Source organism: Homo sapiens, chromosome 5 (assembly GCF_000001405.40).
Source record: "Homo sapiens chromosome 5, GRCh38.p14 Primary Assembly".
Classification (NCBI taxonomy): domain Eukaryota; kingdom Metazoa; phylum Chordata; class Mammalia; order Primates; family Hominidae; genus Homo; species Homo sapiens.
In genome coordinates, this window is record NC_000005.10 from 109,450,989 (window position 1) to 109,468,642 (window position 17,654).

General features: G+C 38.3%; 1 long non-coding RNA gene across 1 annotated transcript in view; it reads left to right on the forward strand.

The window, feature by feature from the left end:
- The first annotated feature begins 455 nt into the window (after positions 1 to 455).
- The window catches only part of LOC105379117 (uncharacterized), a 122,892-nt gene continuing 105,693 nt past the window's right edge, over positions 456 to 17,654 (forward strand). Inside the window, exons 1-3 of the long non-coding RNA XR_001742838.2 lie at positions 456 to 765; positions 4,688 to 4,931; positions 15,068 to 15,198. This is a non-coding gene — a long non-coding RNA (uncharacterized LOC105379117). The remainder of the gene's footprint in view (positions 766 to 4,687; positions 4,932 to 15,067; positions 15,199 to 17,654) is intronic.

The window sequence follows — 17,654 nt, forward strand, 5'->3', positions numbered from 1 at the left end:
CTCTCTCTCTCCTGGAGCTATTCTTCCAGACATTCCTCATGCTTTCTGGCCCAGCAACTTTGAACAAAATTCTTAAGTTTCAGAGAATTTTCTCCAATGAGGCTTGTCTCACCAAGGTAGAACACAGAAAACTTGCTGCTATCCCCATCCTTTTCGCTATAGGAAACAAATCTGTGAGTTAGATGACTTCACCAATCACTCAGATATAGTAAAGTTAGATTGAGAAGTCAACAACTTACAGAAGGAAGCTCTTGGGGCACTATTTGTTGAGGATAGCAACTGAGATGTATGGCTTTGGGGGTGGCAGTGATTGCATGATTGAGTTCCTCGGCCTGGAATGGCCTTGATGCCAGCAGTATTTGAACTCTTGCCAGCAGTGCAAAGAAAGCCCTCAGTGTTGGTGGCAGCAGCAGTGGTGGTGCTGGCTGTAGTTTCTTTAAACTGTGCATATTGGAAATTTGGCTGCAAGCAAGGTTCTCTGGCCTTTACAACAATTCTGTAGCCTGCAAAGTAGTCTTTTAATGAACTCCTTTTCTGTTTAATCCTCAGGGTCAGAGTGAGCAGTTACAAATAAGAACTTTGACTATAATGTTATAAAACTGGAAGACATAAACCTGGGAATTTCAGGGGCTCTGGCCTGAAGATAGGCCATTTGGAAACAAAGTTACATAGAAGAAAGCATGGCTAAGAGATCAAGCGTTAGAGACAGAGTGAAATTTGATGAATACTGGATCCAGCCTTGCCTGAGCTAATATGAATAGATATGTAAGTTGATAATTTGTTTTTCTTAAGTCGTTTTGGGTTGAGTTACCTGTCATTGCAATTCAAGGCACTCTGACTTATATAGGCTTTTAATTTATAGGCATATATGTGTGTGTGTGTATATATTTGTATATATATATATAATTATAACTTCTTTTTTTTGTGAGACAATGTCTCGCTCTGTCACCCAGGCTGGAGTGTGGTGGTGCCATCTTGGCTTACTGCAACCTCCACTTCCTGGGTTCAAGAGATTCTCATGCCTCAGCCTCTCGAGTAGCTGGAATTACAGGTGTACACAACCATACCTGGCTAATTTTTGTATTTTTAGGAGAGACAGTGTTTCGCCATGTTGGCCAGGCTGGTTTTGAACTCCTGGCCATACATGATCTGCCTGCCTCAGCCTCCCAAAGTGCTGGGATTACAGGCATGAGCCACCCAGCCATTATAACATCTTTTTATGCTGTATTCACATCCATTCCCAGGCCCATAATTAGATACTTTATGCAAAATAACTGAAAACTCTGTCTTGTTAGTTCTGTAGCAAAAGACATAGAAGTTCATAAGATTTCTTGCTAACTCAAGTATGTTTTGCTTTTTTATTTCTAGTTTTTTAATAAAAATATGAAAGCTGATTTAGAAGTGATGGGAATATCCACCCACAAAATCAGGATAATTGATGCCATGTGCCTTTTATAGAACAGAGTTTCTCACTCCAAAGTGAGAATCGAGTTCGACAGTGTTTTCTGAATGAATGCATACATCTTGATCCAGCAACTCTATGTTTATAAATTTCTAAGAAAATACTCATGGTTACCTGCAGAGCTTTAACCACATGTGAATATATACCAAATACAGGCAGAAATTTCTAAAAAGTAAAAAATCAACTTAATAAATAGTAGATTGCAATTTTATATTGCTTACAAGCCACATGTGATAAGGCTTTCATGTATATTAACCATGATATTATAAAAATAATTCTATGAAATTGATAGTATTAGTTTTCTCATCTCACAGATAAGGAAAGTGTGGCAAAGAAAAGCGAATACTCTTTACTTCAGTCATGAAGCCTGTCATGATCTAGCTTTGGAAGCCATGCCAAGCCACTTCTGCTGCAGTCTCTTCTTTAGAACTGACTCAGGCCCAGCACAGTGGCTCACTCCTGTAATCCCAGCACTTTGGGAGGCATATATTCATGAAAAAAGAATATAAGGAAACTCATGGAAATATTAACAGATTGCTGGACTTGCAGTTGATTTTTATTATTTCTATTTTTTGTTTATCTGAATTTACTAAGATTGACTTTGTCTAGAGAAAATCAAAACATATTTTTTGTAGTTGTTGTTAAATTCGACCTTTCTGTGAGATGACTTCCGTGTACTTAACTCCTTATCTCATTACCTTAAAATAATATGTTGATAAACCTTTGACTGATGCTGTATCAAATTCTTTTTTTACATTGTATGTAAACTGAGAGACAGTGATGTTGGGGAAGCTGTGACTTTAGCCTGTATTTATTGACATGCTGATGCTCAGATATTTGAAGTCTGAACTGAACTTAAAACTCTTGGTTCTTGCCTTTTGTTCTGTTGAATAGAAACCCCAAAGTTGCTTCATAGGATTTAAAGTAGCCAGAGAATATTTTTCCCTTTTAAAAACATGACCTATGCACACAGTGGCTTTTAGATACAAACAGATCATCCATTTGATATAGAGACCTCATCTCCTCTCATCTTAACTCTGATTCATCAGTGGCCCTTGCAGTCTCACTGAGATAGACATTCAGGCATAGTTTGTTGGATTTGTTCTGGTTCAGTGGTGGACAAAATTAGCCCATATACAGATAGCATCCTCCCACATTTAAATGAAAAGAAGAAAGTCATTGTCAGGCCTTTATTAGCCCCACTAAAATTTTGCCTCTCTGATTAAAAAGTTCAGTTTTTAAAAACTCACTGAAAAACATTGAGAGACTCAAACTTCATTTTGTTCTCCCCTCCAGTAAGTTACATCAGGATTCAAAATATTAAAGACAGCTATGATTAGAAAAACCATAGTGTGTTGGCCTTGTAAGCGGGCTTAGAGATTGTAGGCATGCATTGGTGGTAAGGAAGCAGAGCCTGCAAGTGTTGTAACTTACAAAGGTTACACAGAACAAAATGGGGTAACCAGACAAGAATTCAGATCTCACTTTAGGACAACTCTTTTCTAATTATACCACGCCACTTCTTGTTATGAGAACACTTTCCTGAAAATTTCCAAATTGGCTTGAGACCTCTGACATTTCCATATCATTTTTTCTTCTCATTGAAGATCATTAGGTCAAAACCATTGTTCTTCAGGAAAGTATGCCATGGTCACCATGCCCTTTTCTGAAAGAGAGGCTACATGTTTATAGTGAGAATATGTGGGTAATATCTGTAAATCTCCTGCAATGAAGCTATAATTGTATTTCTCATTGAGGTCATAGTTCTGCCCTGGGGAAAGGATAAAAAGAATCAGAATTTACCCTTTTTAATGTGGGGGTTCCCCACATTGACTTGGATGTAAAACTTTGGAAAAAAGCTTTTGTCATCTATTCCCCAACTGCCAACTGAGAGACCTTGGTACCGGAGCTCAGGACAGATGGATGAAGAGTCCTACCTTTAGGCAGAGAACTGGAGGCAATTTAGCTATTGTTTATCATTTGCACCACACAGAGAATTAAGGGAATATGAAATGCTTTATCTATTGGTATTCTGCTATTGCCATCTCATTGCGATAAAAAGAAATATAAGTATGGTATCACCCCAAACAAGAGGTAGGTCCAAGTTTAGAAGATTCCTACACCTGTATGATAGCATCTGTGATTTAAAAGTAATTTTATTTTACCTGATTCTCTTACCAGTTCTGTGATGTTAGCACAGTGGAAGATAATGGAATCCAGGGAAATGAAGTGACAGGACAATGACCACAGTCTGTTCCTGCAGTAGGAACCAGTTCCTCGGGTTTCTTCCTAGTCCTTTTTAGATATAGCTAAGGGAATCTTACAGACATGGAAACAATCAATTTAGATTATAAAGGTTTATCAACAAAAAGTATTCTGCTAAAGGCAAAAATCCTGTGATCTAGGTAGTCAGAACGCTGTCCTCACAGGGGCAGAAATGTTCTTCAGCTAAAGTATGTTCAGAATGGCTTCTTTTCCTTCTGGCTTTTGAACAAGAATTTGCAACTTTGGAAGACTATTCTCTCAGCGGAGAGAATGGCAAGTCTAAGAAAAAAAATGTTTATTTAAAAAATGGTATCCAAAAAGAAAGCTAATGCTTTTCATACTACTTAATATGTCATTGTTGTGTTACATTAGAAAGCAACAGGGTTTTGATGTGCCCTTATTATGGTTTACAGACTTAAAAAGCAGAAAAAAAAAAAAGGAAACAAAGGTCTCCCACCCATGTGGCAAAGTGTGCTTTGAAGTTCTGCTGCAATATGTTTTATAGATCTTGAGACAGGTTCACAAATTGCCAATCTGCAAAGCTGTCTGGATGACCTTTCCACACATAGAGGTGACCTAAGCAGAGTAGTATGCTGGCAATGACCAGGAGGCTGAGAAACTAGTTTCCTCGTAGAGCATGTGTTCATTTACGATTTTATTCACATTTTGCTTTGCACGCAGACTCAGTTCTTTTAGTTTAGTTTCCTTTCATTCAGTTTCCACAATTTGTATGGTTGACTTAGCGAAATAATTACTTTTGGTAAAAAATATTCCTTGAACATTATTCATTATTTGGTTCATCATTTGCAACAAATATCTTTTAGGTTAGACATTGAGCTGGTAACTCCATTTGTGGTCTTGCCCCTCTTTTATCCATTTAGCTTTTCTATATGCTGTTTCCTCCATTTAGAAATCCCCTTACTGTTGCTCTTTTCTAACAGTCTCCTCCTTATTCTGCAGACTCATCTTTTCTGAAAAGACTTTCTTCATCCACAAATGGCTTTGATGCTAATACCTTTATTTATGCCTGATGGGAATAGATGAGATCACTCAGGAAGAATATGTCATGTGAAAACAGAAGAACTGGTTTGTACCGGACACAGAGGAAACAGTGCCTGCCAGGGAGAAGGGAGAGGAGTGCTAGAGAGGGAGGAGAAAGCCAGGAGAAAGGCCAAGGGGTAACTGTTTCTACATGCAGAGCGTGGTAAGTGCCAGTCACTGCTACAGAGAAGACAAGCAAACTGAGAAATGGAATGCGTCATTGGTCTGTACTTGTATCTGCTCATTTTCATACAGAATAACACCAGAATGACTCATAAGAATCTAACAGTGGTTACTTATAGAGGTGACTGGCCCTGAGCAGCTAAGGATCATGTACAGAAGGTAGACTTTTATATTTTGCATACCTTCTAAAGTTTCTGAGTTTTGAACTACGTGAATGAATTACGTATTAAATACACTAAATCAAAATTATTTAGACTCACACCTGTAATCTAGCACTTTAGGAGGCTGAGATAGGGGGAGGCACTTGAGACTAGTAATTCAAGACCAGCCTGGACAAACATAGTGAGAACGCACACCTAAATATTTTTTTAATAAAAATAAATGAAAGAAAAAATTTAGACTAACTATAATACTCTAATATTCATATCAAATTAGCAAGATATACAAACTTCCAAAATTTTTATATAAAATTAAAATTGGGTTTAATGGGTCAAATGATCTAAATCAACATTTTGATGAAATTCATGTAATAAATCCTTGGCAAAAATCATTATTGCATTTGTTAATTATACTGTATTGGAACACAGAAAATCTTTTCCAATCTATTTGGATTGAGAAACATTTTATTTGTATTTTAGTGTTTAATCATTTCTGGCTCTCAGTCAAGCAAACAAAATATTCTGAAATGCTATAATGCATTTTCTCAATGCTACAAAGCTTCTGCAATCTTTTCTTACTTTACTTTTCTTTCTTTTTTTTTTCTTAAGGTAGGTGAAATGCAACAGAAATACAAGATTTATATGTACCTAAGGAGGGATAAAATCTTTATGTCCATCACATACTTTATCTAATAAAGTAAGAATGTTAAAAAGACAGTTTTCCATTTGGGGAAATGAGGTAATGAAAATGATAGAATTCTGATTTCAAAGGATTATTTGTTGAAGTGTTAGTTTCCAAACAATCCAAACAGGTAAACCAAGGATTTTTTTTCTGGCTTTACATATGATATACTCTATTATTATAAATCTTATTATTATACACTTTTTAAAATGTATTGGTTACATACAGTAAGTTTTGTGTCTTAAAACAAAAATATTTCTATCCCATTTGCTGCCATCTCTATCTCTTTCTGTATTAAAGCACCCTTGTGAGAAAAGCTTGGTCTCTAGCAGTCTTGGGAGGACATCCAACCTGTCAGATCCTCCTTTCTGGGTTTATTTATAGCTAAATAAGAGATATATATATATATAACCAATTTTACCTGAATAGTATGAAATAAATTCCATTTTAATTTTATTGTTTAATAAAAAGCCAGGAGAGGGTAGAGCCAAGATGGCCAAATAGGAACAGCTCCAGTCTACAGCTCCCACGTGAGTGACACAGAAGATGGGTGATTTCTGCATTTCCAACCGAGGTACTGGGCTCATCTCACTGGGGAGTGTTGGAAAGTGGGTGCAAGACAGTGGGTGCAGTGCCTCCAGCGTGAGCCGAAGCAGGGCGAGACATCGCCTCACCGGGGAAGTGCAAGGGGCCAAGGAATTTCCTTTCCTAGTCAAAGAAAGGGGTGACAGATAGCACCTGGAAAATCGGGTCACTCCCACCCTAATACGGCTCTTTTCCAATGGTGTTAGCAAATGGCACACCAGGAGATTATATCCTGTGTCTGGCTCAGAGGGTCCTACGCCCACAGAACCTCACTCATTGCTAGCACAGCAGTCTGAGATCAAACAGCAAGGTGGCAGCGAGGCTGGGGGAGGGGTGCCCACCATTGCGGAGGCTTGAGTAGGAAAACAAAGGGGCCAGGAAGCTCGAATTCGGTGGAGCCCACCGCAGCTCAAGGAGGCCTGCCTGCCTCTGTAGACTCCACCTCTGGGGGCAGGGAATTGCCAAACAAAAGGAAGCAGAATCCTCTGCAGACTTAAATGTCCCTGTCAGACAACTTTGAAGAGAGTAGTGGTTCTCCCAGCACGCAGCTGGAGATCTCAGAACTGACAGACTGCCTCCTCAAGTGGGTCCCTGACCCCAAAATAGCCTAACTGGGAGGCACCCCCTAGTAGGGGCAGACTGACACCTCACACGGCCGGGTACCCCCCTGAGACAAAACTTCCAGAGGAACGATCAGGCAGCAACATTTGGTGCTCACCAGTATCCGCTGTTCTGCAGCCTCCGCTGCTGATACCCAGGCAAACAGGGTCTGGAGTGGTCCTCCAGCAAACTCCAACAGACCTGCAGCTGAGGGTCCTGACTGTTAGAAGGAAAACTAACAAACAGAAAGGACATCCACACCAAAACCCCATCTGTACATCACCGTCATCAAAGACCAAAGGTAGATAAAACCACAAAGATGGGGAAAAAACAGAGCAGAAAAACTGGAAACTCTAAAAATCAGAGCACCTATCCTTCTCCAAAGGAACACAGCACCTCACCAGCAACGGAACAAAGCTGGACAGAGAATGACTTTGACAGTTGAGAGAAGAAGGATTCAGACGATCAAACTACTCCAAGCTAAAGGAGGAAGTTCGAACCCATGGCAAAGAAGTTAAAAACCTTGAAAAAAAATTAGATGAATGGCTAACTAGAATAACCAATGCAGAGAAGTCCTTAAAGGACCTGATGGAGCTGAAAACCAAGGCATGAGAACTACATGACGAATGCACAAGCCTCAGTAGCTGATTCAATCAACTGGAAGAAAGGGTATCAGTGATGGAATATCAAATGAATGAAATGAAGCGAGAAGAGAAGTTTAGAGAACAAAGAATAAAAAGAAACGAACAAAGCCTCCAAGAAATATGGGACTATGTGAAAAGACCAAATCTACGTCTGATTGGTGTACCTGAAAGTGAAGGGGAGAATGGAACCAAGTTGGAAAACACTCTGCAGGATATTATCCGGGAGAACTTCCCCAATCTAGCAAGGCAGGCCAACATTCACATTCAGGAAATACAGAGAATGCCACAAAGATACTCCTCGAGAAGAGCAACTCCAAGACACATAATTGTCAGATTCACCAAAGTTGAAATGAAGGAAAAAATGTTAAGGGCAACCAGAAAGAAAGGTCAGGTTACCCACAAAGGGAAGCCCATCAGACTAACAGCTTATCTCTCGGCAGAAACTCTACAAGCCAGAAGAGACTGGGGGCCAATATTCAACATTCTTAAAGAAAAGAATTTTCAGCCCAGAATTTCATGTCCAGCCAAACTAAGCTTCATAAGTGAAGGAGAAATAAAATACTTTACAGACAAGCAAATGCTGAGAGATTTTGTCGCCACTAGGCCTGCCCTAAAAGAGCTCCTGAAGGAAGCACTAAACATGGAAAGGAACAACCGGTACCAGCCACTGCAAAAACATGCCAAATTGTAAAGACCATCGAGGCTAAGAAGAAACTGCATCAACTAATGAGCAAAATAATCAGCTAACATCATAATGACGGGATCAAATTCACATATAACAATATTAACCTTAAATGTAAATGGACTAAATGCTCCAATTAAAAGACACAGACTGGCAAATTGGATAAAGAGTCAAGACCCATCAGTGTGCTGTATTCAGGAAACCCATCTCACGTGCAGAGACACACATAGGCTCTAAATAAAGGGATGGAGGAAGATCTACCAAGCAAATGGAAAACAAAAAAAGGAAGGGGTTGCAATCCTAGTCTCTGATAAAACACATTTTAAACCAACAAAGATCAAAAGAGACAAAGAAGGCCATTACATAATGGTAAAGGGATCAATTCAACAAGAAGAGCTAACTATCCTAAATATATATGCACCCAATACAGGAGCACCCAGATTCATAAAGCAAGTCCTTAGAGACCTACAAAGAAACTTAGACTCCCACACAATAATAATGGGAGACTTTAACACCCCACTGTCAACATTAGACAGATCAATGAGACAGCAAGTTAACAAGGATATCCAGGAATTGAACTCAGCTCTGCACCAAGTGGACCTAACAGACATCTACAGAACTCTCCACCCCAAATCAACAGAATATACATTCTTCTCAGCACCACACCGCACTTATTCCAAAACTGACCACATAGTCGGAAGTAAAGCAGTCCTCAGCAAATGTAAAAGAACAGAAATTATAACAAACTATCTCTCAGACCACAGCGCAATCAAACTAGAACTCAGGATTGAGAAACTCACTCAAAACCACTCAACTACATGGAAACTGAACAACCTGCTCCTGAATGACTACTGGGTACATAACAAAATGAAGGCAGAAATGAAGATGTTCTTTGAAACCAACGAGAACAAAGACACAACATACCAGAATCTCTGGGACACATTCAAAGCAGTGTGTAGAGGGAAATTTATAGCACTAAATGCCCACAAGAGAAAGCAGGAAAGATCTAAAATTGACACTCTAACTTCATAATTAAAAGAACTAGAGAAGCAAGAGCAAACACATTCAAAAGCTAGCAGAAGGCAAGAAATAACTAAGATCAGAGCAGAACTGAAGGAGATAGAGACACAAAACACCTTTCAAAAAATCAATGAATCCAGGATTTTTTGAAAAGATCAACAAAATTGATAGACCACTAGCAAGACTAATAAAGAAGAAAAGAGAGAAGAATCAAATAGATGCAATAAAAAATGATAAAGGGGATATCACCACCGATCCCACAGAAATACAAACTACCATCAGAGAATACTATAAACACCTCTATGCAAATAAACTAGAAAATCTAGAAGAAATGGATAAATTTCTCGATACATACACCCTCCCAAGACTAAACCAGGAAGAAGTTGAATCTCTGAATAGACAAGTAACAGGCTCTGAAATTGAGGCAATAATTAATAGCTTACCAACCAAAAAAAGTCCAGGACCAGATGGATTCACAGCCGAATTCTACCAGAGGTACAAGGAGGAGCTGGTACCATTCCTTCTGAAACTATTCCAATCAATAGAAAAAGAGGGAATCCTCCCTAACTCATTTTATGAGGCCAGCATCATCCTGATACCAAAGCCTGGCAGAGACACAACAAAAAAAGAGAATTTTAGACCAATATTCCTGATGAACATCGATGCAAAAATCCTCAATAAAATGCTGGCAAACCAAATCCAGCAGCACATCAAAAAGCTTATCCACTATGATCAAGTGGGCTTCATCCCTGGGATGCAAGGCTGGTTCAACATATGCAAATCAATAAACATAATCCAGCATATAAACGGAACCAATGACAAAAACCATGTGATTATCTCAATAGATGCAGAAAAGGCCTTTGACAAAATTCAACAACAGTTCATGCTAAAAGCTCTCAATAAATTAGGTATTGATGGGACGTATCTCAAAATAATAAGAGCTATCTATGACAAACCCACAGCCAATATCATACTGAATGGGCAAAAACTGGAAGCATTCCCTTTGAAAACTGGCACGAGACAGGGATGCCCTCTCTCACCACTCCTATTCAACATAGTGTTGGAAGTTCTGGCCAGGGCAATCAGGCAGGAGAAGGAAATAAAGGGTATTCAATTAGGAAAAGAGGAAGTCAAATTGTCCCTGTTTGCAGATGACATATCTAGAAAACCCCATCGTCTCAGCCCAAAATCTCCTTTAGTTGATAGGCAACTTCAGCAAAGTCTCCGGATACAAAATCAATGTGCAAAAATCACAAGCATTCTTATACACCAATAACAGACAAACAGAGAGCCAAATCATGAGTGAACTCTCATTCACAATTGCTTCAAAGAGAATAAAATACCTAGGTTCCAACTTACAAGGGACATGAAGGACCTCTTCAATGAGAACTACAAACCACTGCTCAATGAAATAAAAGAGGATACAAACAAATGGAAGAACATGTCATGCTCATGAGTAGGAAGAATCAATATCGTGAAAATGGCCATACTGCCCAAGGTAATTTATAGATTCAATGCCATCCCCATCAAGCTACCAATGACTTTCTTCACAGAATTGGGAAAAACTACTTTAAAGTTCATATGGAACCAAAAAAGAGCCCACATCGCCAAGTCAATCCTAAGCCAAAAGAACAAAGCTGGAGGCATCACACTACCTGACTTCAAACTATACTACAAGGCTACAGTAACCAAAACAGCATGGTACTGGTACCAAAGCAGAGATATAGATCAATGGAACAGAACAGAGCCCTCAGAAATAATGCCGCATATCTACAACTATCTGATCTTTGACAAACCTGAGAAAAACAAGCAATGGGGAAAGGATTCCCTATTTAATAAATGGTGCTGGGAAAACTGGCTAGCCATATGTAGAAAGCTGAAACTGGATCCCTTCCTGACACCTCATACAAAAATTAATTCAAGATGGATTAAAGACTTAAACGTTAGACCTAAAACCATAAAAACCCTAGAAGAAAACCTAGGCATTACCATTCAGGACATAAGCATGGGCAAGGACTTCATGTCTAAAACACCAAAAGCAATGGCAACAGAAGCCGAAATTGACAAATGGGATCTAATGAAGCTAAAGAGCTCCTGCACAGCAAAAGAAACTACCATCAGAGTGAACAGGCAACCTACAAAATGGGAGAAAATTTTTGCAACCTACTCATCTGACAAAGGGCTAATATCCAGAATCTACAATGAACTCAAACAAATTTACAAGAAAAAAAACAAACAACCCCATCAAAAAGTGGGCAAAGGACATGAACAGACACTTCTCAAAAGAAGACATTTATGCAGCCAAAAAACACATGAAAAAATGCTCATCATCACTGGCCATCAGAGAAATGCAAATCAAAACCACAATGAGATACCATCTCACACCAGTTAGAATGGCAATCATTAAAAAGTCAGGAAACAACAGGTGCTGGAGAGGATGTGGAGAAATAGCAACACTTTTACACTGTTGGTGGGACTGTAAACTAGTTCAACCATTGTGGAAGTCAGTGTGGCGATTCCTCAGGGATCCAGAACTAGAAATACCATTTGACCCAGCCATCCCATTTCTGGGTATATACCCAAAGGATTATAAATCATGCTGCTATAAAAACACATGCACAAGTATGTTTATTGCAGCACAATTCACAATAGCAAAGACTTGGAACCAATCCAAATGTCCAAGAATGATAGACTGGATTAAGAAAATGTGGCACATATACACCATGGAATACTATGCAGCCATAAAAAATGATGAGTTCATGTCCTTTGTAGGCACATGGATGAAGCTGGAAACCATCATTCTCAGCAACCTATCGCAAGGACAAAAAACCAAACACTGCATGTTCTCACTCATAGGTGGGAATTGAACAATGGGAACACATGGACACAGGTAGAGGAACATCACACACTGGGGCCTGTTGTGGGGTGGGGGGAGGGGGGAGGGATAACATTAGGAGATATACCTAATGTTAAATGACGAGTTACTGGGTGCTGCACACCAACATGGCACATGTATACATATGTAACTAACCTGCACGTTGTGCACATGTACCCTAAAACTTAAAGTATTAAAAAAAAAAGAACAGCTGCTATGTGCCCTCTGTTCACAGCAGAAACACCCTGTTAAAATAAATAAATAAATAAATAAAAAGCCAGAAGTAGGAATTTTTATGAACTCTCCGAAGTTCAGTAAAATAACAGTACTGTACCTATTCTTTCGAAGAAGCATAAAAAATGTGATTTTCTTATATATGAACTTTTATGCAACTCCTAAAAGGATTTTCTAAGAACTTGAACTGTTTTAAACCTTTTTAAATGTAAGACTTTCTCTAATATCCAATCGTTAAGTTTCATACTTTTACCTCAGAGGGATCCTAAATGGATGTGTATTACATTTCAATTTAGTAATTCCAAAGATTGAGAAGGAGACATACTCCATCTTTAGAGTAGCCTTCAAAGGCTATTAGACATATAAGAGTCCTTAAACAAAACCTGCTAAAAGTCCAACATTTGATTCATTCTCTATTTTAGGCATAAATACGATTATAATTACAATATAACCTATATTTTATACAATTAAAGAGAAAATAAACTCATTTTCACAATTTTGATTTTCTTTTAAGAGGAAGTGTCAATCATATAATTTTTTCCATACTTATATTGAAAATTTGTTTCTGAATTGCATTAGGACAGGCTAGGCTATCCTGCTGTGATAGATATCCTGAAATCTCTATGACTTAACACAACAAAAGAACCTTTCCTTTTCATAAAAGTTCCAATGCAAGAAGGATTCTGTCTAGTATGTGGTGACTCCAGGATCCAGGTGGCTTCCATCTTGAAGTGCTGCACTCTCAACACGTGGCCTCAATTACTGTGGAAGAGGCACCTTTCCTTCTACTTACAGGCCATTGACCAGAATTAGTTGCATATTCTCTGGCCTAACTATAAGGAAAGTTATGAAATACTCTTTTCTCTTGTGTTCAGGAAAAGAAAATGAAACAGGATTAGGTGAACACAAAGCATTGCTTTTGCCACAGTTTTAAGTGTAGATTCTTTGAAAGTACTTTTTCTAATACCAGTTAACCTTGGAAAAGGAGAACCAAATTAGAGTTGTTACTCATCTCTGATTCCTCCTGAACGTGATGGAAACTTTGAACAAAGCATGTACTCACATGCAATTGGCCATCCAATCACGGAATTTGGAATGACCCTGGTTTATTATTACCTTCAAGATTTAATGTCATTTTTAAAATTTTGATTGGATATTGAAAATGGAGATGGATTAGAAATATAAGAATCTTATCAGTTCATAGTATTGCCAAGCAGAGTAAAAGTATCCCATCATGACTTCAGATTAGCTTTTTGAAAATATTACTATCAAAAATGGTTTGTATGTCTCTGATAATAAATATGGTCTTACAACTTCTACTTTATTAGCATTTGATGGAGCTGAGAACTTACATTAATAAAAATGAAATTATATCTAATAAAGTATAAATGTCACAAAGATAAATGAGGTATTTTCATAACTTAAAATTTTCTCTCTTCTTCAAGCATTTTTAACTTAAAATAAAAACCAAAACTTTCTCCAAATTTTATAGTTTCAGGTTATTTTGAACTCAACCAGAATTATTTCTTTAAAACAAAATCTTCCTTCTGAACTTTGAAGTGTAGTCAGAGAAGGCTGAAATATTTGCTGTTGGTTTGCTTTATTAATGCGAAGACATCTTGAGTACAAAAGAGAATCAATGGCTATATATCTAACATACCAAGATTTTTCCTTGGCACACAGGGCATTTGGAAGGGGCCATATAGCTGTCATTTGAGGTCTGTGGGTTGACCTACTGGGTACAACAGAAGGGTTATATATGGTAGGTGGCCTGGCAGGTCTGAGCATTGGTACAATATTTATGAATTCTAGCTTTGCTCCTTGACTCTTTATAGTCTCAAATAAGTAACAGGTGAAATTCTGAAAAGTAACTCTACTGTTAGAAGTGATGCAAAGTTATATGTTAGCCAAACAAGCAAATGAAGCTTTTAAAAAATAATTCCACAGAAGAGATTTATTTTATTTTGTTATTAACAACATTGACAGCAAAAGCTGAGAATGAATAAGAAAAATGGGGAAAAGCACATTTTGAGATCTTAGCTTCAAGCTGAAAACATAAAGCTTTTTGTTTAATTTCAGCTTCATCCTTTAGTTGCAAAGCCATAAATGTAAACCAGAAAGCTAAGGGACAATTTTTAATGAAAGAGGAAAAGAACTCCAAGACAATAGCTTTCTTCTGTAAGCTACTCTTCCTTATCTCAAAATACAGGGCAGAAGATACAGCTTTCTGCAATATCCTGAGACATAAACCTCAGGAATTGCTAAGGCCAATGGTCAGAGGAGCCAAGAGAGAACCAGTCATGGCACATTGTGTGGCCAATACCAGTCACGGGACCAAACTGGGTCAACGTCTTAGCCATTGGAGTGAAGATGGACTATGTGATAAGAGAGATCTGGAATACATCTGAAAGTGTCCTTAGTTGTAAGGCTTAAAGAATCAGTTATGGACCTTCCAGCTGGTGGCCCAAGATTATAGTCCCTTTGATGATAAGATACCTATAAAAGGAATACTAGCTGTTTATTAAAAAGTGTGTCTGTGTGTGTGTCTTGGGAAACTTGGGTACATATATGCCAAACCTAAATATTTAATAAAAATAAATATCATTTACCAATATTTTTGCCTTATTTCTTCTTAGATATTGTTTTAAAAAGTTCTAAGCCAAAAAGCCACCTCAATTATTACAAAGAAAGAAATACCTTAGAATAAGTAACCAGAATATTGTCTTGAAAACCAGAAATATTGAGCAAGAAAAGACTACGTGAGAAGGTAAGTCCAACACACAGTACCGTGACATGTAGATGTCCAGAACAGAAGACACTAGGAGACTCCAGATACGGCAGTGACAAATGCCCGTCCTGCACCAGAAGTTATCAAACCTTCTAATTCAATCATTAGGTACTGAGCAAATGTGGAGACAGGCTGAAAATCATTTATCTAATTGACAAGGACCAGTGTGGGATTTAGGAAAGGGGGAAAGTGAGTAACAGAAGAAAACACAATGATGGATAATTGAGGTCCTGAACTCATGGCTAGAGAGTTATAACTCCCAGGTAAGGTAAGATTCGTAGTTAATAAGGTGATACCAACAGCAGACATTTGGGATATATATTTCTCGATATAATTAAGTTGGTGGTTAATAAATGCTTTTATTATTTATCTGTTTTCCAAAGTTATGAATTAAATAACTCTTTGAGATACTGTAAAACCTAACTCACCTACCTGACCCAGATGTGACCATTTGATAATCAAGGGTCCTAATAATGTTCTGTGGTCAGGCATTCTTCCATAATTAACACACTTAGAGACACAGGTCCCTCAGTGGCTTCTGAGCTGAGGTTAGGCCTGGCTTTGACATCAGCCTAGTGTTGTACCTGCTGTCCTTTCACACATTCAAGGATATTTATTGAATGCCTGCATTGTGTAGGCTTTGTATGAGTAAGAACTAATCCTTGCTTTTCAGGTGAAAGGAGGGGTTGGAAAGGCTTTCTCTGGTGGTAGTTACTGTACTTACCACATTATTGGTCAGCCAAAGTCATTCCTCACAGGTTCGACACTGTGTGATGTCAAAGCCAGGACTAACCTCTGCTCAGAAGCCACTGAGGGACCTATCTCTTTAAGTGTGTTAATTATAAAAGAATCCCAGGCTACGGAACATGATCAGGACCCTAGATTATAGGTTATATATTAAAAGGAAACGAAAAGACCAATGTAAAGCAAATATGGGAAGTAATTTGCAGGAATGAGCTAAGTTAAAAGACTCAGTTGTTGAGAAAACCAGCTATGTTTTGGCAAGTCAAGCAGGCAAAGATAGTGGAGTGAACTGAGTGTGTACTTATGGAGCCCCCTCGAGGAAGCTTACCCACCATATAGCTCCTTTAATAAGCTTTTCCACCTCAGCAGAATTGACCACTCCCAACTTTACCCACTGATGTACCACGAACAGTTTTCAGCACTTATACCTTCAATTCAGTTGCTTTATTTTGTTTATTTTTTCACTAAAAACTGTCATATTCATCTTTGTATCACCAGCACCTAGCGTATTTGTTACTAACAGGGATTTAGGTGACAAATTACATTATCTGCCCTAGCGATTGGTATTGCACTGGTGGTAATCTAGACTTTGAGAGTGTGTCAGGTGAGAAGGTAGCTGGAATAATTATGTTGGCTCCATACAGATGAACGATTCTTAGAATATATATCTTGTCTGCTCCATAGTGGTTTGCACAATGCTTAGCAAGGATCTAGTTTTTGCTCAATACATACACAATTACTTGATATTTAGACAAGCTGAGCCAAGCGTTAGTGCTTGCTTTATTTAACAGCTGATGGCTGATGGCTGCTCTTTAAAGTGGATGTAAAGGATGTGAAAAGAGAGTAGACAAGAAATATACCATTGGGGCCGGGCGCGGTGGCTCATGCCTGTAATCCTAGTACTTTGGGAGGCTGAGCGGGTGGATTACCTGAGGTCAGGAGTTCAAGACCAGCCTGACCAACATGGTGAAACCCCGTCTCTACTAAATACAAAAAAATAGCCAAGAGTGGTGGTGCATGGCTACAATCCAAGCTACTTGGGAGGCTGAGGCAAGGAGAATTGCTTGAACCTGGGAGGCGGAGTTTGCAGTGAGAGGAGACTGTGCCATTTCACTCCAGCCTAGGCAACCAGTGCGAAAACTTTCTCTCAAAACAAAACAACAAAAAAAGGAAATATACCATTGGTTCTTAGGTATATGAAACAGGTACCCAAACTTATTCATAACAAAAGAATGTAAATTAAAACCACACTGATGTGGTTTTTACCTATTAATTGGCAAAGATCAGGAAACTTAGTAATGGTAGTTTCAAGAAAATGAAAGTGTAAAACTAGTACAAACTAGAAAAGCTTCTAGACAGCAATTTTGTAATATCTATCAAAATTAAAAATATAGATACCCTTTGTTTCAAGAATCAATTTCCAAGGATCCTAGGATCAATATGCTCATATGTGTAAAATGATGAGTCAGCAAAGTTAGTCCCTGCAGCATTGTTTGTGCAAGCAAAAGATTGGAAACAAACCAAATGTGTAGTCAGGAGGTACCTGTTTGAATAATGGCACTATGTACAGTGGAATATTATGCAACTATAAACAGAATGGGAATGCTTTCCTTTTGTGCGTGCTGGTAGAAGAATCCCTAATATATGCTAAGGAAAGACAAGAAAGGTACAGAACAGTGTTATAATTATGC